Genomic DNA, 26738 nt, shown 5'->3' with positions numbered 1-26738 from the left:
GTTAATGCATCAGAGGGTTTGAAGAATCTGAAGATTTTTGTACATGTTGCCCAATTGTATTCCAGAAAGGCTGCATGCCTTTACTTGAATGAAGCTTTTTGGGACTGGGCTATAGTGCCCAGTCTCCTTGAATTTGGACTATTCAGTATTAGGACTGTGATTTCCCCTTGCAAGAATAAGGCAGCAGTAACAAACACTTACGAAATCTACCTGTAAGTGGAGATGTTGAGAATCGAATGAGGAATTGGCAATTCCACCTGACCTGGGGCTGAGAAGTTTGTAGGTGGTTCCTTTGGTTTCTTCCATGTGCCCCTCTTGTTTACAGAAAGAGAGATTCTATGAAAGCCGGTGCAGGCCAGTGACACCATCATGTAAGGAGCTGGCTGACCTCATGACCCGCTGCATGAACTATGACCCCAATCAGAGGCCTTTCTTCCGAGCCATCATGAGAGACATTAATAAGCTTGAAGAGCAGAGTAAGACCTGCCATGTGCTGCTTTAACCCAGCTTGGGGAGAAACAGGAGCCTGGGTGGCAATCCCTGGCAATCGACTGCCTTTCACTCTGTTTTCTTTTCTCTTCTGTTAGATCCAGATATTGTTTCAGAAAAAAAACCAGCAACTGAAGTGGACCCCACACATTTTGAAAAGCGCTTCCTAAAGAGGATCCGTGACTTGGGAGAGGTAAGTTACACCCGTGCTGCTTGCTGCTGATGGCAGAGCCCTCCGCCATCCACAGCGCCACTCTCTGCACGTACAGCTGCTCTCCATTCTTTTTCATTCTGGGGCCAGGTCCATGAGCGAAAGCACCTTACTGCATTTGGGGGCCACTTTCATCACAAGGGATTGTGTCTTTCTCCATGTGACACACGGCACGGACGGAATGCACGTCCCTGCCTGCATGCACGACTGTGTATGCACACGGGACTCTGGGCAGCTCCCTTGAGAGACTTGAGTTTTCTCTACAGGACAGAAGAGAATGGAAAGAGGGAGAGATGGGGGAGTAGGTATAGATATGGTGGAATAGGAAAATCCTTGCCTCTGACTTTCCCGGGCATATATATCCTGTAAGCTTCTCTCTTTTTCTTTTGCCCCCGAGAGACAGGGTCTCGCTCTGTGTCCCAGGCTGGAGTGAGTGGTGTGATCATAGCTCACTGCAGCCTCAACTTCCCAGGCTCAAGCAATCTTCCTGCCTCAGCCTCCTGAGTAGCTGGAACTACAGGCACACGCCCCCATGCTGGCTAATATTTTTTATTTTTTATTGTAGAAATGGGGTCTTGCTATGTTGACTAGGCTGCTCTCAGACTCCTGGCCTCAAGCAAGGAGGCCTCCCAAAGTGCTGGGATTATAGGCATAAGCCACCATACCCAGCCCTGTAAGGCTCTTTAGAGCAGGGATAGGTTTATTGCACAGAATCCCAAAATAGAGTGTCAGCGTTTCTTTGGACCTTAAATGGGAGTTTCCAAACAGTTAATTGTGACTAGAGAAGCTACTGAGATTTGTGTCTTTATACAGATTTTCTGTAGTCTGGTTAATGAAACAGACTTGATACATCTCCAGGATCTGCTGTGTGCCAGCCACTGTGCCAGGCATTGTCAGAAGCATGGCATCCTTAGTTCCCCCCACCGTCCCCGAGGCCAGTTTCTGTATGCAGCGAGTGCATCAGGAGCCAGCTCCGATTTGGGGACTTGGCCACCACTGTCGCTGTCAGGTGGCTTGGCTGGAACCTGATCTCACGTCTTCTAAAGACTCCTCATGCATTTGCTCTTTTCAGCCATGCTGTGGGGCCTGTCCTGTAACGTGAGCCCAGGGCTTTTAGAGAACGGCAGTTGTCCTGCAGGCCCAGAAATAACCTTCATTTCCTGTGGTCATAGAAATTGGGATTGATGAGTTGGTTCATCGTCACCTGCTACTTTGTCTTGGCTCAGTAACTGAGGGGACAGTTTGTGAGGCCAAGAGAGCGAGGGGGCTGTAGTGAGCAAGTACAGTCCAGGTGAGAGGCTTCTGCCTGCAAGGCCAGACAGCGAGAACCCCTGGCCCTCAGGGGAACGGCTGTGAGGAGCAAGACTTCTGTGTGTTCCGTGGCCTACGATGGGGCTTCCCTGATAACAGCACATGCATCTTTCCCTCCAGGGCCACTTTGGGAAGGTTGAGCTCTGCAGGTATGACCCCGAAGGGGACAATACAGGGGAGCAGGTGGCTGTTAAATCTCTGAAGCCTGAGAGTGGAGGTAACCACATAGCTGATCTGAAAAAGGAAATCGAGATCTTAAGGAACCTCTATCATGAGAACATTGTGAAGTACAAAGGAATCTGCACAGAAGACGGTATGTTATGCAAGGCTGGGGTCCGGTTTAAAGATTTGGTGACTGTCTAGGGTCATAAAGGCCAGTGCAAAACAGGCACTCCGTGGCCTTACCTGGGCGTCTGACATGCTAGCTGGTGGTTCCCACACACTCTCAAGGCTTCCAAGTCATATGTCAAATCCCTCAGCAGCTGCAGGGCTCCTGAGGAGGCCACCCAGGCCCCTCCATCCAGGGGCTGGTTCCAGCACTGTCTCTCCACGTCACTTGCACTTATGCCTTATGAAACTGATTCCTACTCTACCTCCACCCACTTCCTGTTCTGATCCAATACTAGCCAGGGTATTTCATTTTCTAGTTGTCTAAATCAAAGTGGCAAGTAATATTTACTAATAATTGTATCTTATTTGCAAGCCAGCATCTACTCATGGTAGTGAAATTGACAGCTGATGATAATTTTTTTTTTTTTTTTTTTTTTTTTGAGACGGAGTCTCGCTCTGTGGCCCAGGCTGGACTGCAGTGGCGCAATCTCGGCTCACTGCAAGCTCCGCCTCCCGGGTTCACGCCATTCTCCTGCCTCAGCCTCCCGAGTAGCTGGGACTACAGGCGCCCGCCATCACGCCCGGCTAATTTTTTTGTATTTTTAGTAGAGACGGGGTTTCACCGTGTTAGCCAGGATGGTCTCGATCTCCTGACCTCGTGATCCGCCCGCCTCGGCCTCCCAAAGTGCTGGGATTACAAGCGTGAGCCACCGCGCCCAGCCCGATAATTTTTGAAAACAGTCATTTGCCTGTGGTTTACAGAGCACTCTGACTGTTATCTCAGTGAGTGCTTATGCCTGTGAGGTAGGTACACCATTGTTACCATCTCCATTCACTGCTGAGGATCTTGAGGCATAAGAGGTCAAGTAACATGCCTGTAATGAAGGGGCGAAGCTGGCGTCACCTCAGGGCCTCTGTCTCATATCCTGTGCCCTTGCCTCTCCCATGGTTCCCTCATTTGGCAGCCTCAGACTGATGGATGTTTTTTCTAAACAGGAGGAAATGGTATTAAGCTCATCATGGAATTTCTGCCTTCGGGAAGCCTTAAGGAATATCTTCCAAAGAATAAGAACAAAATAAACCTCAAACAGCAGCTAAAATATGCCGTTCAGATTTGTAAGGTAAAAAATAAAGACATCATGTTACAGATTAAGACATCAGGCACTCTGTCCTGGGTAATTGGTTTGTAATTTGACTCTAAGTGGGTAAGTTTATGATAATTATACTGTTTGTTTTTCTCTGCATTATTTAGATGAAAAGTTAGCTTCTACTAAGAAAGTAAACGGATTTAAATATGGTTATTTTAATGTGTATTTATTTGAATCAGTTTGTTCTTAATATTCTTGCATAAAAGTCAGAACCAAAAAAATTGTCAGTGATATGTGAATGAAATGACATTTCTATTTTTTCTGATGAAGTGATAGATAATACAATCTAAAGTGACTTTAGCAATGTGCTTGACTTTTACTTCTCTCTCTCAGGGGATGGACTATTTGGGTTCTCGGCAATACGTTCACCGGGACTTGGCAGCAAGAAATGTCCTTGTTGAGAGTGAACACCAAGTGAAAATTGGAGACTTCGGTTTAACCAAAGCAATTGAAACCGATAAGGAGTATTACACCGTCAAGGATGACCGGGACAGCCCTGTGTTTTGGTAACTGAATCAAACCACTAGGTTTTATCAATGCTTCATAGAGTTTACACTGTTTTAATAGGCCCTTTCTGGCTATATTAATGTGTCTCATTCCTCTGGCCTGACTCAAGGTTAGAGAAGGTTTAGAACATTTGGAATTGATTGATATTTATCTTCAAGAAACACACCTTTCAGCCTGTTTCATTGAAAGCAGCCTATATAAATGACTGAGCTTCATATGACACCGTCTTCCAAGGAATGAAAGAAATCTAACCACCAGCTCAACATTCCTAGCTTTCCAGGAGAGGGCATTCATCTGATGCAGTTCTTAAAACTGTGAGCAGGTGGAGAGAATCTAGTTCCTTTCTTAAACACATTCCTGCAGAGGGAGGCTGTAGGACAGAGTGGGCATTGCAGATTCAGGGAACTCCTGGACAGAGCAGAGCAAAACCTACGGGAGACCTGGCTGTCTCATGAATCACCAGAGGTTCCCAGGTTAGAAGGCCACACACTGGCTACAACCATGTCTCAGCCGGGAACACTGTCCAGGGGAGAGGCTGCTTACATCTCTACCGCACCCTGCCACGTAACCACATAACGACATAACCAATCAGCACTCCCCTAGGTGCATCCTACATGGACACAAACATAGACCTCTCCCACTTATGGAGCCTAAACTTACTCATTCATTCATTTAAGAAAATGCATCAAGGTCCTGCTTTGTGCCAGTACTGGAGATATGGTGAACAAGTAGGCCGAGTTTAGAGTTTAACAGGCTAGGCAGCCAACGGCATGGAGCAGGAAACATACAGAAGGGTTCGGGCTTGGTTTTCTGGAAGTCGTGAGTATTCAGAAGAAACCTGAAAGATTCATGCGGGTTTAGACAGACGGTTGCTAGACAGCATGCGTGACTAGGAAGAATGAGACAAGAGCAGTCGATTTCCCAGGAACTGAACCTCAGTGAGGTCAGATCATGGAATAGGAGGTTTGCAGGAGGAAGCTTGAGTCATGGAGCTGGGACTTCATCTCAAGAACAATGGGATGCTGCTGGAGAGTTTAAGGAGGGAGACTTTGTTTTAAAAAGACCACCACTGAATGAAGGGAACAAGATTGGAGCCAGGGAGTCTGGAGCCAGGGAGTCTGGAGCCAGGGAGTCTGATTTGGCTGCTTCAACAGCTCAGGCCAGAGCTAGTGACAGCATGAATTAGGACAGGGACTGGGAGAGTGACAGTAGGGTTTGAGAGAAGTGAGTAGGTTCAAGGAGTATATAAGGAGATTGGGTGCGGTGGAATGCCTTCATTTTTGGCTTGGGCAAGTGGGTGTCATTCAGCAAAGTAGGCAATGCTGGAAGAGGATTGGACAGCGATGCCACATTGTGCAGTGAGGCCACTGCTGTCTCATTTAGAGCCTGCAGGCAAATCAGACCTGGGGCTCATCATTACACGGCCACCTCCTCCCATACCCTGAGAGCATGTTCTCAGTGAAATGAAGAGCACAGACTTGGCGTGTTATTTTAGGGCAGATACGTGCTACCGAGAGCCTGTAAAGGATACCGTACTATAGGTCAGATGTGCACCATAGCAGCGTATACATGGTATGTGTAAAATATATAATACACAGTCAGATGCTGTATTAAATTATAAGAAAAACCGAAGAGGTGATTTTTCAGTTATCCTGTAATGTCGGATGGAGTGTGCCTCCCAGGAAATGAAGTTTTGTGTTCTGCTTCCTTTCAAGGTATGCTCCAGAATGTTTAATGCAATCTAAATTTTATATTGCCTCTGACGTCTGGTCTTTTGGAGTCACTCTGCATGAGCTGCTGACTTACTGTGATTCAGATTCTAGTCCCATGGCTGTAAGTCCTACTTTTCTCTTCATTTGAATCCAGTACCCATTTAAAATGTGTCCATCCCTCTGCTTGGTTAACTTTTGTTTTTAAATGGAATCCAATGAATGTATTATAATGGAAAATGTCACTTTCCCATTAACTTGGTTTGCTACTTGACAGTTATTTGTGAATCTCTAAAGTCTTGCTTTCACAACGAGCCCGGAGTTCTATAGGATGACCTTGACTCTCAAGGATCTTATCTGTGTAGAGATGAAGGGCAGTTTTATGGGAAAATGAGCAAGTTAAGTGGGGTAGCACTGGGTAGGGACCAGCCTTGTCTGTGCCTCCTTCATTCCTAAATCAGATCATTTTCTTGGGAACAGACTCCTTGACCAGCACAAGCACAAGGAGTGGTTGGTAGAGTCTAAGACACTGGTTAGAGACAGATCATTGAAAGCTAATAAGGATTTTGGATTTTTATTTAAAGTTACTAAGGAGAAAAGCCTTTTTATTGCTACTTAAATTTCCAGTTGATTGTAGAAATTTCACCTTAATCTGTTTGGCATTTATGTAAATACTTGCAAAGTTAAACGTTTTGTTTGATTTTATTTTATATAGTTGTTCCTGAAAATGATAGGCCCAACCCATGGCCAGATGACAGTCACAAGACTTGTGAATACGTTAAAAGAAGGAAAACGCCTGCCGTGCCCACCTAACTGTCCAGATGAGGTATCTATGGGCCACGTCACAGTAATAACACTCCATTTCTATTATGTTTTCGCAGCTTGAGTTGTCCAGCAATGGGTAGAGGGGAGAGCGAGGAAATGATGCAGTGAAGTCCTTGTAAAATAGTTTTCTGAAGCTGAATTTCACATAAGATAACTGAGAAATCGCCTTTGGGGCTAGATGATAGCCACCAGTTAGGTTCAGAGCAAGGATTCCCTCCAAAAGCCAGCCCCTCTTTATCCACTTGCTTGCCCCAGAGGGACAGGTTTTGGTGTAGCCTTAGTGTGACAAATACATATAATTGCATTTTTTGTGTGTAAGTTTATCCCACTTATTAGCATTTATAATTCAGTTTTCTAAGTGAATTGAGCCTTTAATACTAAACTCTTGAGACTGTGTAAGACACACTGAACAGTATGAGTCAGAGAGTGAGGCAGCCAGTCTGGAAAGTTCAAGTCTGAACTGAGATTCTGCTTCACCCTCTAACTGGTTTACAGGAATGACCTGGATTTTATTGCAGCCAGTCAACCCTTGAGCTTCTCAAATGTTAAAATATTATTTATGAACTAGAGTTGTATCCCATTTTCTGTGTTTTAAACTATTCAAATACTCTTGTTTTTCTAGTCTTTAAGGAAAAGTCATTGCATTTCCAAAATTATTTTCTTACTCTTGATATTTCTGTTATTTTTTAAAGTTCCCAGATCTAACATTTTTACTGTTGTTACTTCTTTCTTTTTACAGGTTTATCAACTTATGAGGAAATGCTGGGAATTCCAACCATCCAATCGGACAAGCTTTCAGAACCTTATTGAAGGATTTGAAGCACTTTTAAAATAAGAAGCATGAATAACATTTAAATTCCACAGATTATCAAGTCCTTCTCCTGCAACAAATGCCCAAGTCATTTTTTAAAAATTTCTAATGAAAGAAGTTTGTGTTCTGTCCAAAAAGTCACTGAACTCATACTTCAGTACATATACATGTATAAGGCACACTGTAGTGCTTAATATGTGTAAGGACTTCCTCTTTAAATTTGGTACCAGTAACTTAGTGACACATAATGACAACCAAAATATTTGAAAGCACTTAAGCACTCCTCCTTGTGGAAAGAATATACCACCATTTCATCTGGCTAGTTCACCATCACAACTGCATTACCAAAAGGGGATTTTTGAAAACGAGGAGTTGACCAAAATAATATCTGAAGATGATTGCTTTTCCCTGCTGCCAGCTGATCTGAAATGTTTTGCTGGCACATTAATCATAGATAAAGAAAGATTGATGGACTTAGCCCTCAAATTTCAGTATCTATACAGTACTAGACCATGCATTCTTAAAATATTAGATACCAGGTAGTATATATTGTTTCTGTACAAAAATGACTGTATTCTCTCACCAGTAGGACTTAAACTTTGTTTCTCCAGTGGCTTAGCTCCTGTTCCTTTGGGTGATCACTAGCACCCATTTTTGAGAAAGCTGGTTCTACATGGGGGGATAGCTGTGGAATAGATAATTTGCTGCATGTTAATTCTCAAGAACTAAGCCTGTGCCAGTGCTTTCCTAAGCAGTATACCTTTAATCAGAACTCATTCCCAGAACCTGGATGCTATTACACATGCTTTTAAGAAACGTCAATGTATATCCTTTTATAACTCTACCACTTTGGGGCAAGCTATTCCAGCACTGGTTTTGAATGCTGTATGCAACCAGTCTGAATACCACATACGCTGCACTGTTCTTAGAGGGTTTCCATACTTACCACCGATCTACAAGGGTTGATCCCTGTTTTTACCATCAATCATCACCCTGTGGTGCAACACTTGAAAGACCCGGCTAGAGGCACTATGGACTTCAGGATCCACTAGACAGTTTTCAGTTTGCTTGGAGGTAGCTGGGTAATCAAAAATGTTTAGTCATTGATTCAATGTGAACGATTACGGTCTTTATGACCAAGAGTCTGAAAATCTTTTTGTTATGCTGTTTAGTATTCGTTTGATATTGTTACTTTTCACCTGTTGAGCCCAAATTCAGGATTGGTTCAGTGGCAGCAATGAAGTTGCCATTTAAATTTGTTCATAGCCTACATCACCAAGGTCTCTGTGTCAAACCTGTGGCCACTCTATATGCACTTTGTTTACTCTTTATACAAATAAATATACTAAAGACTTTACATGCATATGCCTTTTAATATTAAGATTTCATTTTCAAAGCATTTCAAACAATTTGCTTACATAGAAAAATAACAGTATAGTTTTGGGGGGAGGAAGGGGTGGGTTACGGTCCTTACTACTAACAAACAAACAAACACCACTTGATTTGCACTTCTTCACTGTTGTGCCCAGTGATTGATAACGGGGCACAGGCCAGTATGGATGGCATGTCCACTGTGCTGTAGTCCAGACACCTTTGTTTGTTTGTTTTAGTTCCTTCAACCTCTTCCTGCTTTGACTGACTGACTTTTTGCAGCTCTGTTGCAAAATTCACCATCTTTCCTTTCTTCTGTTTGTTTGTTTGTTTGTACTATAGTGGAGGTGTGACTAAGCATTGAAGAGGCTGAATGCAACAGGAAAATGGGAAAGAGAAGTGCAGGGCCTGAAAAACCCATTAGTCATCTGCTATATCACTGAATGATGCCTAATTCTTATCAGTTACTTATAGGTAGTATACTTAGAAATTACCTTAAACTTTCTAGCTGTCAGTCATTTTCCAACAGAAGCTAGTATATGCAATAAATTAGACCAAGTGAAATTCTTTACAAAGCATACAACATATGTACCAATTCTAGACTTCATAATTAAAACAGGATATCCACATCATAGTTAAAAATAACAAGTCCCCAAAGTGACGAGATATTTAATGATCTGATTTCAAAAAGCCCCGGATTGAGATCCCAAATTCCCTATCAATTAATTACAGTCTTATAACATAAACAAACTTAGAAATTTCTAGATGGCAAAAGGTTTCTCATGCATTTAATACCAAGGTCTTCAAGAAATGGTGATGTCAAAAGTCATCATAGTCCATAAAGATAAAACTTCTTTCACAAGTAAATTGGGTTAAATAACTGATTTTTCACCCTAACACACTATCAAAAAGAGTGAGAGAGAAAGCAGAGAGTGAGGTATAGCTTATTAGCTCAAAATGGTTATAAATACTGTGACTCCTTAAGACTCCATCAGAAAGTGCAGTATTGACTGCTTTACTATACTATATTGTGGAAATAATAGGGCATTTAGTGATCAAAATAGGCCCCATTCTAGTCATTAGATCATTACTAGTCTACGCTATGAAATGAGCACAGAAACCCATGTTCCTTTCCACTTACAAGTCTGTCTAAAGGCTAAAGGTCTGTCTTTAGGTGAATTGAAAGGAATAGTTGCTATTAGAATTAGTGCTATTAGATCAGGGATCAGCAAACTATATATAAATGGCCAGATACTTGAAATTTTAGGCCATATGGTCTTTGTAGGCCATACAGTCTCTGTTGAAGCTAATCAGTTCTGCCCTTGTAGCGTAAGAGTGCCACAGACAACACGTAAATGAATGAGCATGGCAACGTCCCAATAAAAGTTTATTTATGGACACTGAAATCTGAATTTCATATAAATTTCATGTCATAAGTTTTCTTTTTTCCTCCAACCATTTAAAAATGTAAACATTAGTCTTAGCTTGCAGGCAGCACAAAAGCGGGTGGTAGACCAAATGTGGACCCAGGGTGTAGTTTGCCAAACCCTTTTATTAGATCACCAAAGTTACTTTTCTTAAAATACCTTCTATTTTTCACAGAAGGTATAAATGGTAAACAACATCTTAAAGCATCGGTAGTAGTGGATACCTTGGATATCACTGTCACTCTCTTACCGGGTTTAATTTTGCATGGCTGGTGTGGGCGTAATTGAGTGTGCATGTAGAGCATCTTTATAATATTACCATCAGCACATTTGGTACTTGCACCCTTGTAGTTCTAGGAAAAGTCCTAAAAATCTATAAATGCAATTACTTCTAGGGAAAGTAAATTGAAATGCACATTGGCTTATAAGAAACTCATTCTTCTAAGGCTCAGGAAACAACACTGTTTCCCATTTATTGCTTCAAACTTCTTTTATATATGGTGTCAGAATTATTCCCAGTCCTAAATCAAGGAATATTGGAACATTGTTAGTTTCTCCAATGGATTGTAAGTTAGCACACTGATTAAGATGCATCTGACTCTAGTGGAAAATGTCCTCAATTGATGTCTCTTCTTATTGCTATTTTTTATTTGGCATTTCTGCCTGCTGCACAACACAGTTCCTTCTGGGAAACTATAAACCCGTATTTAAAGGATATGGCTAGTTTGAATGAAGTTAAGGCAGCGATGAACAGCAGAGATACTGCAGAGAACCTTAGGGGGTTATTAGGAGAGAGCTTAACTCAGTATACTCGCTTCTTTTTTAAGTAAGTTTCCATGTAATATGCTCCTGTGCCCTGAGAATGCTGGTCAACACATTCCACTGAACCACCTTCTGGGGCAGAGATGAGATATGATGAGCCTCGCTTTTCATTTCTTAAAGATGACACCTATGAGAAAATAAAATTGCAGCTAGTTTTAAAATCTAAAGTTGGCTTATTCATTAAAGATATTTATAAGAAAAGCATTCCACTTTGACTTGGTGAATATAGAATAACAGGATAAATACCCAAACTATCAAAAAATACACAAACCCCTTTGTTAAATAAGACTTTTAAATTTCTGTATCAACATCGCCTTTGGAATTTCTGCAAGACACAAACCAGTCTCAGCACCTTCACTCCCAACCCCAACTTTTTGGGAAAAGAAAAAATTAGAGCACTGCATGCAGCTGCTTCTGCTGATCACAGCTAGTTAAACCCACGGACTCAGAATATCAACACCGAATGTCAGTATTCCTCTGAAGGAGGAGTGGCTAAGACATCAAGCTGCATATTGAATTAGATGTTAAGTGTGCCTGGTGACAAGAGGAGTGGTGAGAGAATAAATCAATAGGTGTAGAAACTGACAAATGACATCAAAGAAAACAACATGAAACATTCTAGAGAGCAATGGGAAACTCAGAGCTTTGGTCTCCACAATAATCGCCTGGCGAGCATATTAAAATGCAGGTTTTCAGGCACCATCCCAGAGATTCTGACCTGAAAGTGGGCCACATGTCCTCACAAGTGGTCACAGTGATCAGCACAGTAAATCAGATGGTGTAGCACTGCTCAGCTTAATGCCTCTTAGTTTCAGCTTTTACAAAAATAAGTGCAGCAAGCTTTTATCAATGCAGAATTATGTGACTTAATATGCAAGAACTTAGAAATGACTGATGAGTAAAGCTTCCAGTAACACACAGGAGCCTTCTCACGTTGCAATTAAAACTGCAATTGTTTTTGAACCAACAACGGTCACAATTTTTAAAAGTGCAGCCAGCCTCAGAGGGAACAGATGATAGGTCTCTCTCAACTCCTTGCTAAAGTAGTTCTCAGTGGTCCATGTTAGAGGGATGACAAGACTGAAAGAACGCTGCGTCCTCTGGTATCTCATTTCAAAGTGGCTTACTGTGGGGACAGACCAATACAAAGCGTCTTCACACAAGCCCAGTGTAAAGGAATGTTTCACAGAGTGAAGCTGATGGGCAAAGAATCTGGCTTGAATTTCTGCCTCGACATTTTTTTCCTGGTAGTAAAGTATGTCTGGGGTTTGTGCTAGAATGTTAGAAGGGAAGCAGGTGAGAGGGTAGATGAAAGGAGACCTGCCGTAAGTTGATAGTTGTCAAAGCTGAGTTGATGGTGACGAGGGGTTCAGCCCTAGAGAAGGGCTGCTGCACCAAACAGCTTGCTCACCTCTTAGGTGGAGCCTCTGCCCCAAAAACCCTTCCTCCCAGTCTCCAGCCTCTTGGTTATTCTCTCCAGCTGCCTTCTTCATTAGGGCCCCTTCGCTGGTAGGTGATCTTTCTGAATGTTGGACCCCAGCCACTAACACCATCAGACCTTACTTCAGGTATAAAGAACTCTTTTTAGCAGCTTTCCTCCTCTTAGAAGTCATCAGTCCATTCTACAAGTGAGATTTTCCAAAGACTGGGGGAGGGAAGCAGACTGCTCACTCTGGGATCTGGGATGCTCCTGCTCTTCTCACCCACCTTCCCCAATTCTTCTTGCCATGTAGTTATCTATTCTTTCATGTCTTGGCATGCAGCAAAGCAACAGCCTGGGTTTCTGTCTTTCTATACCATCTTCACTGTCAGAAGCCAGATAGGAAATTTATTACATTCTTTTATTCAAAGGGCTTCCCAATGGTGCTAACACCATTCACAGTGAGAACCAACTGAGACCTATGAAATCAGCAAAAAACTTCACTGAGCAGCACAGGAAAATATTAGAACAGGAAATGAAAGTGGGTGTCACTCATCTTACAATAAAGACAAAGCCTGCAAACATTACGTTGAGTAAAATAAGACATTCAAAAAGAGACAGACATGGTATGATTACACCAATGTGAGATATAAAAGTTAGTCCCAGTTATAAAAACAGAAAGTCAAATGATGTTCTCTTCAGGAGCTGAGGAGAAGAGGGGGAAAAGTGCAGTTTATTAATTATCAGATTTTACTTTTGTAAAATGAAAATCTAGAGATCTGTTGCAAAATAATGTAAATATACTGAACATTACTAAACTATACACTTAAATATTTAATAGTAATTTTATGTTTTTATCACAATTAAAAATTTAAACCTTAAAAAAAAAAAAGAAAACGGGTTTCACTGTAGCCCATGTGATACTGGGAGAAAGGTAATTCTTCTGATACGCCCTATCAAAGATATCTAACTTCTAGTGTAAGGACTGGTGAATGGGGAATGATGATTTAAAATTTTGAAAGAAAGCTCAGTGCTCTGGGAGAAATAAATTCCTACATAAGAACCACAACCACAACCACAACAAAACACAAAAGAGGGAAAGAATATAAAGTTAGCAAATATTTTTCCTTCTATTTTGTATTTGTAGGATCTAGACATCCATTCCTTCATAAGTGGTCTATTGCGGGCACTGGGCTTGTGTGCTATGAGGTTTACCTGGATGAATGAAACTTGGACTATGCCCTCCCACAGCTCATATCCTAGGAGGGGAAGGAAGAGGAATGCAAAACATAATTCTAAAAGGGGACTGTCACTTTGACAAAAGAGAAATAGAAGTGAAGTGCTAAAGCTTTTTCCAGACAAGGAAAATGGGCGGGGGGTGGGGGGGGTGGGTTTGAAAGGTACAGGCACTGGTTTCATGGATAAGATAGCATCTGAGTTAGGATTTGGAGATGAGGTCAGATATGGACATGAGGAGATAGGTGGTGACCCTTCCAGGAGAAAGGCAGGGCCTGTGCAAAGGCAGATGGCAAAAAAGCCAGGCCTGTGATGGTAGCAGCTGGCAGGCAGAAGAGGGCAGTGGCAAATGAGGTTGAAAAATGAAGCTGGCCTCAGTCATGGAGGGCTGGAACGCCAGGCTAAGGACTGTAAACAGGACCATACCCTTGATCTTGGAATATGGCAAGATTAATAAGCAGCTCTGTAAAAAGTATGGCAATGAAGGAGACAGGCATTATTAAGTCTCACCAGGAGGCTATTGAACTTGTCCCTATTAGATACTTGCATGTGAGCAAACACACAGATTATATGTGATTTAAGACTTGATTTAAAATGTAGCATGAAACTTACAGATGAGACAGAACAAAGTGGTATATTTAGAAAATCTGAAAACAATTTTGATGAGCATTTATGCTTTGAATACCAAACAAAAGGAAGACCTTTAGAGAAGCTATAATATTCTAGTTTTACATGTCTAATATTCAGGTGGAAATCAAACACAATAGTCATTTTAGAGGACTTCATCTTTAGCAGGGTCTTTTTTAGGGTTGGCTGAAACCACTCTATGAATAGTTTGCACCCAGTGGTTCCATTCTGTACTTTGGAACTACAATCCAAGTCTAATACTTCCTTATCAGAATGGGCATAACTTCAACGGAGGCCCCTCACCCTCATGCCCCTGGGCAATCCTACTATATCCCCACCCTACCCTGCCCACTGATCTCCACTCCCCTAAGTGACTATTGCAAGCCTTCTCTTTTCTCGAAGCTCCAACAGTACACCCTCATCTTCACTCTCAGCTGATGCTTTGCTTTCTATTTCACCAAGAAAACAAAATCGAAAGAGAAATCTTAAGACGCACAGTGACTAACCCCTGGTGTCTTTACTTACCCTCACTTCCTTGGTGATCTCATCCAATTTCATGCAATTCACAATTATAGCGATTTACAGGAATGCGATGGTTCTCAAATATGTACCTCTAGAGGCCCATAACTCTCCCCTCACCTCCAGACTTGTATAATGAACACCAATAAAGGAACATCTTCACTTAGGGATCTTATGTCTAAAACGTACCCATAAAACTTGCTCCACCCACACAGTCTTACCCATCTCAATCAATAACAAATTCATTTTTCTAGGCCAAAACTCTTGGGGACTTGGCTCCTCTCTTACCCTCGTATACCCCACTGACTCCAGCTTCCAAAAATGTCTCCAGTCCAGCCACATGTCACTGCCTCTGTTGCTTCCAGGCTTGTCCAAGTCAGCATTTTTACTTGGATTGTACCACAGCAGCTCCCTAACTGACCCTGCTATGTTCTACATTCATTATTTAACACAGCAGCTAGGCATGTTAAACTATAAATACAGTCAATTATCCCTCTACTCAAAGCATCCCAGTGGCTTTCTATCTTAGAGTAAAAGCCAAAGTCCTTACAAGGGCCTAAAAGGTCCTAAATTGTCTGTGCCCTCTGCCTCCCCGACCCCACTGTGACATCATCTCCTATTCTCCACTTTGCTCCCTCTTCTTCTGCCCTAAAGGTTGCTTGCTGTTCCTTTAACAGACCAAGCATGTTTCTGCCTCAGTACCTTTGCACTTGCTGTTCCCTGTCCCTGGAATGTACTTTACATAGATATTCATGTGGCATACTCCCTAAAGTTCTGGTCTTTGCCCAAGAATCAGTTTTACTATGAACCCTTCCTTGACCACGTATTTAAACTCCAAGACTTCCCAGACACTCTTTAGCCTCCATCTTATTTTCTCTGCAGCGATCACTATTCCTTTTACTAATTTTTTCCCCTAAATGTAAGTTCCATTCTTATAAGGATTTTGATGTTTTGTTCATTGCCATATCCCTAGTGCCTAGAACAGTCCTGTCATATAGTAGACATTCAGTATATACTGGTTGAATGAGTAAATGAATACCTTTCAAAAAATATTTTCTAAGCATCCATTCCCAGCTCCTTCAGCAAATAGTCATGGGCCATGGTCTCTGACACTCTGACATGGAAAAACTGAACACCGTAATCTACTAGAGCCTACCAAAGCAAAGGTTAATGTGCTTCTCGCTTTGGGCACCTGCCCTCTCGTTAGAATTTCAAATTAGTTGGCTCTTTTAAATGTTGCTCACCAATCCAATCTTTTGCACACATCTACTATGAAACCCATTCTCTATGCAGTCGCTATTTTATTCTTGGATTTTAAAAAGTTAATTTTCTTTTATTAAAGCAAATCTTTTTATTTTCATGTAAATGTAGACTTTCTTTTATCCCATTGATTTCCAAGTGAATGTAGAAACAGAATGTCACAATATCATTTGTTGACTGCCAGTTTTTAATACAATGTATCTTAAGCTCAATTTTTAAGCTCATGTCAATAATTGAACTGGTGGCTAGTTTTCAAAGCCATCGTAAGAATTGGGGAAAGGGGAATCTTGACTATCCCTCAGAAGATTCCTTTGGGATATGTTAATGTCAACAGTGAATTCCATTAGGCTCATCTGCTATCAGTCCAATTAAAGATATTTATTATTGTTGTTCTTCTGAAAAGAATATAAGCATCTAGCAGGTAGCCCTTTAAATACAAAATGAAATTTGTTTTCAGAAAATTCTGCCTCAAGGACTCCTCAGTCTCACCCTTACCTTCAGCCCCACTTCACCTTTTCTAAGTCTTGTCTCTTCAGTGGAGTCAGGTATACGGAGAACCAAAATGGGACTGCACTAGTTCTCCTGAGATCTGAATCAAGCCCCTAATGTCCCTTTCTTATAGCTTCAAGTCCAGCTTTTAGATTTCAGACCTACAGAAACATGAATTAATTTTATCATTATTTCTGCATTAAACATTTTTAAATTTTTATTTAAAAATATAACTTTCTCCCATTGTTAAAAATGTTTCAAAATCAATATGCTTCATTCTGTGACATTAATGATATAATAAAATGTCTCTGTCTGATATATATACATAACAAATGTTTCCAATGTTCATATTCATATTTGCCTCTCAGCTACTTGTCTTTCTTCATATGAATAATGGTTGAGTCCTAACTTTGGATTTAACGATTCATCCCCAAAAAGGTATTGCACAGCACTAATTTTTTTTTTTTTTTTTTTTTTTTTTTGGGAGACAGGGTCTCGCTCTGTTGCCCAAGCTGGAGTGCAATGGCGGGATCTCGGCTCACTAAAGCCTCTGCCTCCCGGGCTCAAGCGATTCTCCTGCCTCAGCCTCCTGAGTATTTGGGATTACAAGCGTGCACCACCACACCCGGCTAATTTTTTGTATTTTCTGTAGAGACGGGGTTTCGCCCTGTTGGCCAAGCTGGTCTTGAATTCTTGACCTCAGGTGATCCACCCACCTCAGCCTCCCAAAGTGCTAGGATTATAAGCATGAGCCACCCCGCCCAGCCGAAATACATTTCAACAGCTTGCTTTCCTTACTTCCAGTTTTTAACCAAAATCACTTTTTAAAAGTACTTTCCAAGTTATTGTCTAGGGTTAATATATAGATAACCTGTGCTCCCATAATTGTTGTTTAAAGTAGGCTTATGTTTTAAAACATATTTTGTATGGTAGGTGTTTGTCACACGATTCGGATCTATCACGGTCCATACAAAAATCCACACAGCATTCATTACATAACACAATGTACTTTTTGGCAAGTCTGTCTGCATTATTTGACCACTGGGTGGCAGCATTAGGCTCCATATGAAAGGACCAAGCATTCATTTTCCAGGTCTTTTGTTCATTTTTCTTTCCTCTTCCCCTCATCACATCATCTCATCATATATTCTGTGGTTGATTCCCTGGAACAGGCAGTCAGCCTCCTGGCAGGGGAGATCCCTGGAATCAGGGTAACACAAGAACACACCGTGCAAGTAGATAACACTGCTGTGCTGCATGCTGGACAACTGCCACATATGGCAAGTGTTAAATGAAAAACAAAAATCAGGCCGGGCGCGGTGGCACATGCCTATAATCCTAGCACTTTGGAAGACCAAGGCAGGCAGATCACTTGAGGTCAGGAGTTCAAGACCAGCCTGGTCAATGTGGTGAAACCCTGTCTCTACTAAATATACAAAAATTAGCTGGGCATGGTGGTGGGTGCTTGTAATTCGAGCTACTCGGGACGCTGAGGCAGGAGAATCACTTGAACCCAGGAGGTGGAGGTTGCAGTGAGCTGAGATTGCATCACTGCCCTCCAGCCTGGATGACAGAGCAAGACGCTGTCTCAAAAAAAAAAAAAAAAAAAAAATCACAACTTACACAGTCATATCAAACAGCTGAAAAACCTCTTACATTTTTCTTTACATTATTGGGACTATGTCAAACTGGAAAGGTGCTTAAGATATATTTTTACCTATTTTAATTAAAAGGGGAAGGGTGAAATGTTTTGTCTTTGACTGATTATAATTAGATGTTAGATTTAGGTGTTTAATAGACATTTAATAAATGGGCTCAAAAGCTTCTCTTTTAAGGTAGACTTCTCCCAACCATTTGACATAGAAGGACCTCAGAATCTGAAATTTCAAACTCAATTTGTACATTCATATTGACAGGATTACATAGCTGACTATAATGCTATTAATAACTGCTAGAGTGTATACTACAAATTTTTAAATAATTTATTTCTGATTTAAGTTTTCCCAATCATAGTTCAAATATTCAAGACATGCAGTTTTTGAGAAAATTCACAGCTCAATGGCAATTCTAATTAATTATTACAACTGACTAGAGAAATGGAAGGGGTAGTCCATTTAAAACTGATTTCTAATTAGACCTAGATCTTGAAAAACTGATCTGATCTGTTTGCTCATAACTAACTACTTTTAGGATCTCTAAAACACTAAATGAAAATGCTATTCTCTGTTTAGTACAGTTGAAGCTTAATTTCTAAAGAGTCCAAAATTTGTTGATTCACAAGGTTCACCAACTTACGAACAACTATCACCACAATTGAATTCTAGAGTATTTTTATCACTCTCCCCTCCCCAAAAAAATCCTGTTAATCATACTCCCCAACTCCTCCTTCCTCCAGCCCCCAATAACCACTATCTACTTACATTCTCTATGGATTTGCCTATTCTGGATATTTCATATAAATGGAATATCATATGTGGACTTTTTGTCTGGCTTATTTCATTTAGCATAATGTTCACAAGGTTCACCAATGTTGTAGCATGGATCAGTACTCCATTCCTTTCTAGTGAATAATATTCCATCACGTGGATATTACCACATTTTGTTTATTCATTCATCACTAGATGGACATTTGGGTTGTTTTCCTTTTTGGCTATTATGAATAATGCTGCTGTGCCAATGCATGTACACATTTGTGTACAGACACAAGTTTTCAATTCTCTTGGATACACCTAGGAGTCAAATCCTGGGGCCATCTGGTAATTCTATGTTTAACATTTGATGAACTGCCACACTCTTCCAAAGCAGCTGCACCCTTTTACATCCCACCAACCCCCAGCACTGTATGAGGATTCCCATTTCTCCACATCCTTGCCTACATTGCTATGGTTCATTTTTCTTCATTCTCTTTTCTTTCAGTTTCTCAGACTGGATAATTTCAATTGACCTACATTCTAAGTTTGTTGATTCTTCTGCCTGCACAAATCTACTGCTGTGCTGTAGTAAATTTTTCATTTGTTATCATACTTTCCAAATCAAGAATTTATATTTGATTTTTAAAAATAATTTCTCTCTCTTTATTGATATTCTCTAAGTGATGAGATGTTGTTCTCGTACTTTGTTTGTTTTTGAGACGGAGTCTCGCTCTGTCACCTGGGCTGGAGTGCAGTGGCGCAATCTTGGCTCACTGCAAGCTCTGCCTCCCGGGTTCACGCCATTCTCCTGCCTCAGCCTCCCGAGTAGCTGGGACTACAGGCGCCCACCACCACACCCAGCTAATTTTTTGTATTTTTAGTAGAGACGGGGTCTCACTGTTGTTAGCCAGGATGGTCTCGATCTCCTGACCTCGTGATCCGCCCGCCATGGCCTCCCAAAGTGCTGCGATTACAGGCGTGAGCCACCGCGCCTGGCCTCTCATACTTTTTAAAAGTTCCTGAGACATGGCTCCCTTTAATTCAAATCGTTGTCTAGTAAGTCCAGTGTTTACACTTCCTTATGGGCAGTTTCTATTAATTACTTTCCCTTTGTGTATGGGCCATACTTTGTCGTAAAATCTTTGTGCGTTCCTGTGTCCAGGATGGTATTGCCTAGGTTGTCTTCCAGGGTTTTTATAATTTTGTGTTTTACATTTAAGTCTTTAATCCATCTTGAGTTGATTTTTGTATATGGTGTAAGGAAGAGGTCTGGCTTTAATCTTCTGCATATGGCTAGCCAGTTATCCCCGCACCTTTTATCGAATAGGGAGTCTTTACCCCATTGCTTTTGTCAACTTTGTCGAAGACCAGATGGTTGCAGATGTCCAGCCTTATTTCTGGGCTCTCTATTCTGTTCCATTGGTCTATGTGCCTGTTCCAACAGAGTTTCAACAAGGTGTGAATACATATTTCTACTGCTTCTATTCAACATTTTACTGGCGGTTTTAGTGCAATATGGTTCCTTGGACATAGGAACGGGCAAAGATTTCATGACAAGACACCACAAGCAATTGCAGGAAGAACAAAAATTGACAAGTGGAATCTAATTAAGAGCCTCTGCAAGCAAAAGAAACTATCAACAGAGTAAACAGACAATCTACAGAATGGGAGAAAATTTTTGCAAACTATGCATCTGACAAAGGGCTAATATCCAGCACTTACAAGGAACTTAAATTTACAAGAAAAAAACAACCCCATTAAAGTGGGCAAAGGACATGAACAGACACTTCTCAAAAGAAGACATACTATGTGGCCAACAAGTATATGAAAAAAAGCTCAATATCACTGAATATTAGAGAAATGCAAATCAAAACCACAATGAGATACCATCTCACACCAATCAGAATTGGCCGTTATTAAAATGTCAAAAAATAGCAGATGCTGGCGAGGTTGTGGAGAAAAGGGAACACTAATACATTGTTGGTGGGAGTGTAAATTAGTTCAACCATTGCGGCAAGTAGTGTAGCAATACCTCAAAGAGCTAAAAACAGAATTACCATTAGACCTAGCAATCCCATTACTGGGTATATACCCAGAGGAATATAAATTATTCTATCATAAATACACATGCACACAAATGTTCACTGCAGCACTATCCACAATAGCAAAGACATAGAATCAACCTAAATGCCCATCAATGACAGACTGGATATGTGGTACATATACACTATGGAACACTATGCAGCCATAAAAAAGAACGAGCTCATGTCTTTTGTGGGAACATGGATAGAGCTGGAAGCTTTTATCCTTAGGAAACTAATGCAGGAACAGAAAACCAAATACCGCGTGTTCTCACTTGTAAGTGGGAGCTAAATGACAAGAACTTATGAACACACAGAATGAAACAATGGACTCTGCTGTCTACATGAGGGTGGAGGGTGGGAGGAGGGAGAGCAGCAGAAAAGATAACTATTGGGTACTGCACTTAATACCTCGGTGATGAAATAATATGTACAAAAAAACCCTGTGACATGTGTTTACTTATGTAATAAACATTCACGTGTACCCCCAAACCTAAAATTAAAAATTTTTAAATATTAAAAAAGAAAATATGTTATAAATGGAGCATGCAGTCTATTTTCATTTGATATAATTATTACTACTGTTCAATTTAGGTTTACCATTCGGATATTTGTTTTTTATTAGACCTAGTTGTTTTTGTTTTTCCTGGCATATTTTGGCTTAATCACATGTTTTCATAATTTCATTGTAATTAAACTATTCATATTTTAGCTATATCTCTTTGTATAATTTTTTAATGGTTGCTGTATGGATTACAATATGCGTTCCACAACTTATCACAACCTACTTAGAGTTACTTTTGATGTACTTCATGTAAAATATTATAACCCCAAAACCATAATTTCATTTACCTTATTGTCCTTTACACTATTGCTATCAAATATACTATATCTATATACATTATAAACCCTATATGTTACAATTTTTGCTTTTAAATAAACTAAGAGAAAATATATAGTCTTTTTTAGTCACCTGCATGTTTACTGTTGCCTTAACACAGTGGTTCTCAATGGTGTGTGTGTTGGTGGGGGCAATCTAGGGGTTAGAGGACAAGGATGTTGCCAAATCTCCGACAATCAAAGAATAGCCCTTCCCACTTAAGAGAGAATTATTCAGCCCCAAACGTTAATAGTACCAAGATTGAGAAACCTGTCTCAAGACAACGTGCATTGTTTTTATCTGGTTGCTCTCAAGATTATCTCTTTACAACTATAGTTTTCAGCATACTAATTATAATGTGCCTAGGTAAAAATTTCCTTTTATTTATCCTGCTTTGCAGGAGGGCCTCTGAGCCTGTTAGATCTGTAAGTTTTTTGAAGCAAATTTGGAAAATGTTTGACCATTATTTTTTCAAACAATATGTGCCCCCATTATCTTTCTCTTCTTCTCCCAGGACTCCATTTACATGCATTTTAGACTGCTTGATATTTTCCCTCAGGTCCCTGAGGATATGTTCATTGTGCTTTTAAAAATCTCTTTTCTTTGTGTTCCTCAGATTGAGTTGTCTTCATGTTAACCGAACCTTTTTTTTTCTGGCCTCTCCAATCTTCTGCTATGCCCATCTAGTGTATTTATTTCAGATACTATAGTTTTCAGTTCCAAAATTTTTATTTCTTAGTTTATATCTCTTGGCAGAGATTCCATACCTGTTCATTATTACTTTATTTTCTTTTAAGTTCCTAAACATATTTATAATAGCTGTTTTATGGTTATTGTCTATAAGACCAACATCTGGGTCACCTTGGGGTCGTTTCCACTTTTTCTCTTAATTGTGGGTCACATTTTCTTGCTTCTTCAACTATCTAGTAATTTTGTTCTACTGGACATATTGATTACTATAATATATTGTAGAGCCTACAGATTCTATTATCTTCCTCTGATGAGTGTTGATTTTTGTTCTAGAAGGAGTTAACTTTGCTGAACTCAAATTCCAAACTCTGTCTCCTCTGTGCTGGAGAGGAGTTGAATCTCTTCTCAGTTCTTTCAGCCTTTCAGCTGTTTTCTACCAGGTCCCTTGGAGTTTTCCTCAGACAAACACAGTTTAGGGGCCAGCCAACAGTATTTGGGTTAAGTTTACACATAGATTTTGAGACTCCTTCCTATGCAACCCCCTCTTTTCCACGATGTCCCCCCTTCACTTAACAGCCTTGCTAACAGTCCTGAACTCTGTCTTCTGACTCCTCAAGCTAGTGAGACTGCAGCTTTCTCCATCTAGGGAGTGGTATTAGGCAAAAAGCTACAGAAACACAAATACCATACAGTGATGTTTTCCTGTTTCAAGGAATAATTCTCCCGTTTCTGCCTGCTTTTGGTCATTCATTCTCTAGTGCTTTCAAGTAGTTGGTTTTCATTCATATTTAGTCCAGTTTTGTTTTGTTGTTCTTTTGAGACGGAGTCTCACTCTGTCGCCCAGGCTGGAGTGCAGTGGCGCAATCTCGGCTCACTGCAACCTCCGCCTCCTGGGTTCACGCCATTCTCCTGCCTCAGCCTCCCAAGTAGCTGGGACTACAGGCGCCCACCACCACGCCCGGCTAATTTTTTGTATTTTTAGTGGAGATGGGGTTTCACCATGTTAGCCAGGATGGTCTCGATCTCCTGACCTTGTGATCCGCCCATCTTTGCTTCCCAAAGTGCTGGGATTACAGGTGTGAGCCACCGCGCCCAGCCTAGTCCAGTTTTAATAATGGTTATCTGTAGGGAGATAGTATGATACAAGCAACAACATCAATAATGGAAATGCCAATTAGGTTTTTAAATCTGATAGTTTTATTGGAGATAAAGATTATTTTGTCCCTCTATGCCTTGACATATTCATCTCTCCTAATCCATAAGCAGAGCAGCCTACACAGTTTCTCTGAGATATTACTTCCATGCCTGAAGAAACTTCTCAATGGTATAAATAATGTGGCCTTTGAAATCAAGAAATCACTTACCAATTGTATGAACTTGGAGAGATTATTTATCCCTTCTCCATTTGTATAATGAAGGTGATCATTTAAATCTCACAAGGTTTTTTTTTTATTATACTTTAAGTTCTAGGGTACATGTGCACAACGTGCAGGTTTGTTACATAGGTATACATGTGCCATGTTGGTGTGCTGCACCCATTAGCTCGTCATTTACATTAGGTATATCTCCTAATGCTATCCCTGCCCCTCCCCCCACCCCACGACAGGCCCCAGTGTGTGACGTTCCCCTTCCTGTTTCCAAGTGTTCTCATTGTTCAATTCTCACCTCTGAGTCAGAACATGTGGTGTTTGGTTTTCTGTCCTTGTGATAGTTTGCTCAGAATGATGGTTTCCAGCTTCGTCCATGTCCCTATAAAGGACATGAGCTCATCCTTTTTTATGGCTGCATAGTATTCCATGGTGCATATGTGCTGCATTTTCTTAATCCAGTCCATCACTGATGGACGTTTGGGTTGGTTCCAAGTCTTTGCTATTGTGAATAGTGCCTCTATAAACATACGTGTGCATGTGTCTTCATAGCAGCATGATTTATAATTCTTTGGGTATATACCCAGTAATGGGATGGCTGGGTCAAATGATATTTCTAGTTCTAGATCCTTGAGGAATCGCCACACCAACTTCACAACGGTTGAACTAGTTTACAGTCCCACCAACACTGTAAAAGTGTTCCTATTTCACCACATCCTCTCCAGCACCTGTTGTTTCCTGACTTTTTAATGATTGCCATTCTAACTGGTGTGAGATGGTATCTCATTGTGGTTTTGATTTGCATTTCTCTGATGGCCAGTGATGATGAGCATTTTTTCATGTGTCTGTTGGCTGCAGAAATGTCTTCTTTTGAGAAGTGTCTGTTCATATCTTTTGCCCACTTTTTGATGGGGTTGTTTGTTTTCTGCTGGTAAATTTGTTTGAGTTCTTTGTAGATTCTGGGTATTAGCCCTTTGTCAGATGAGTAGATTGCAAAAATTTTCTCCCTTCTGTAGGTTGCCTGTTCACTCTGATGGTAGTTTCTTTTGCTGTGCAGAAGCTCTTTAGTTTAATTAGATCCCATTTGTCAATTTTGGCTTTTGTTGCCATTGGTTTTGGTGTTTTAGACATGAAGTCCTTGCCCATGCCTATGTGCTGAATGGTATTGCCTAGGTTTTCTTCTAAGGTTTTTATGGTTTTAGGTCTAACATCTAAGTCTTTAATCCATCTTGAATTGATTTTTGTATAAGGTGTAAGGAAGGGATCCAGTTTCAGCTTTCTACATATGGCTAGCCAGTTTACTAAATCTCACAGGGTTTTTAGAAATAGTAATCACTTATGTCACAAAGCATATAGCAAGTGTTAAAAAGAAAACAAACACTTTTGGTTCCTTTCCCTTAGACCTCTTCCTTCATCCCAGCAGTGGAAATAGTAAAAGGAATTCCTAATACACGACCACCTTTTTCTATAATGGTTATTTTAGTATTCCATTAGTTTAATTCCATGTACTTTAATGTTCCATTAGTAACATTTAATTAAGTTTATAAGGAAGAAAGAACACGAGAGAGAGAACAAATCCCATTTTATGAACAAGCGTGCGCTAGAAGCAGGGACTGTCAAAGGAGACACTGAACAGTGCAGGGAGGATTCATTTCCCCACCATATCTCTGGGCAAGCAAGTGTGGAGGCAGAAGACATACAGTAATGCAAAAGGCATCATTATCACAGAATTTCTCCATGTGTGAATGAGAAAGTCTTTCCATGGATATAAGTATACAATAAATCACAGTAATCTAATAAGCAAAACTGCTAAGAAAAAGGCAAATTTAAAAAGAAATAAAAGTTCAAAAAATTTTTAAAGCTTAAATATGTATTTAATGAATTTTTAAAAAATTTATTGTGCTTCTCCTGTTTATAAAAAGTTTGTTTCTTGAAAAGAAACAAATTGGAATTGTACAGGACTATATCTTGTAAATTTTACAATTAATGTCTTTATCTAAGTCATTACTTCAAATGTTATCTAATAAAGGACTGAAGATGACTCTTATGAATCAATATAAGAGAATGCCTTCAGACTGCAGCAATTTGTGATCACTGTTCTCTAAATATAGATATACTGTCACCTAATTACATCATCTACCCAACCCATATTTTTCCGTCTTGTCCCAGGTATATAAGAGATGGCAAATATTTCACTAATATCCAGCTGCACCATTTTTACAGAACTTGGGCTGTTTCTAGTACTCTTATAATCAGGCGTCAATTGTTCTAAGTGGTTTTCTTTTCTAAGTTTATTAGGGATGGGTCAGGCAAACACAAAGCTGCTCCAGGGAAATCAAAGTGGAGACAAGACTCCAACGAACAGGATAGATCTGAGAAGAAGCTGGCTGTTCTAGGAAAGTAAGAGTCAGAACTGATAATTATAAGACTCTTGTGGACTCTTATGATTCCATAATCACACAGGGCTAACATGATATATATTCAGCTTACACCACTAAGAGTAAGCTGAAGAAGGGCCAAAGCAAAACTGAAATATTTAAGTAATGACACAGGACATCTTATGAACATAATATTTTTATGTTATTGATTGGCTGGTTTAGAAGTTAGCACAGTAGTGTCTGTAAATATGATCATCTTTCTCCATCTACAATCAGTGGAGAAGAACAGAGGCATTCCCTTGGGTTTCTTAGGTCTACACTAGTGCAAACCAGAGGTTAGCAGCATTTTTCTATAAAGAACCAGATAGTAAATATTTAATCTTGCAGGCCACATAGTCTCTACTGTCATCACTCAACTC

The 26738-nt window shown here is 40.4% G+C and overlaps 2 protein-coding genes across 14 annotated transcripts in view, besides 1 other annotated feature; one reads left to right on the top strand and one right to left on the bottom strand.

Moving 5' to 3' along the window:
• JAK1 (Janus kinase 1) overlaps window positions 1–8698 on the top strand; it is a 234518-nt gene extending 225820 nt beyond the window's left edge. For all 12 annotated transcript variants that reach the window (XM_047419676.1, NM_001321852.2, NM_001321854.2 and 9 more), the window contains 8 exons: window positions 326–476; window positions 588–682; window positions 2132–2324; window positions 3338–3462; window positions 3823–3995; window positions 5712–5829; window positions 6421–6531; window positions 7270–8698. In XM_047419676.1, the coding sequence (XP_047275632.1) occupies window positions 326–476; window positions 588–682; window positions 2132–2324; window positions 3338–3462; window positions 3823–3995; window positions 5712–5829; window positions 6421–6531; window positions 7270–7365 (1062 nt within the window). In that variant the 3' untranslated portion in view covers window positions 7366–8698. The remainder of the gene's footprint in view (window positions 1–325; window positions 477–587; window positions 683–2131; window positions 2325–3337; window positions 3463–3822; window positions 3996–5711; window positions 5830–6420; window positions 6532–7269) is intronic.
• RAVER2 (ribonucleoprotein, PTB binding 2) overlaps window positions 8695–26738 on the bottom strand; it is an 88158-nt gene continuing 70114 nt past the window's right edge. For both annotated transcript variants that reach the window (NM_001366165.2, NM_018211.4), the window contains exon 12: window positions 8695–11088. In NM_001366165.2, the coding sequence (NP_001353094.1) occupies window positions 10942–11088 (147 nt within the window). In that variant the 3' untranslated portion in view covers window positions 8695–10941. The remainder of the gene's footprint in view (window positions 11089–26738) is intronic.
• Window positions 14617–14796: an enhancer, noted in NCBI's record as "active region_1129". NCBI's record gives its function as "activates an Ori minimal core promoter by ATAC-STARR-seq in GM12878 lymphoblastoid cells {active_cell/tissue: GM12878}" and the evidence as "EXISTENCE:reporter gene assay evidence [ECO:0000049][PMID:35858748]".

Source organism: Homo sapiens, chromosome 1 (genome assembly GCF_000001405.40).
Source record: "Homo sapiens chromosome 1, GRCh38.p14 Primary Assembly".
In the NCBI taxonomy this organism is placed as follows: Eukaryota; Metazoa; Chordata; class Mammalia; order Primates; family Hominidae; genus Homo; species Homo sapiens.
Note: the sequence above shows the minus strand (reverse complement) of the source record. Positions and strands in the feature narration are given on the sequence as shown.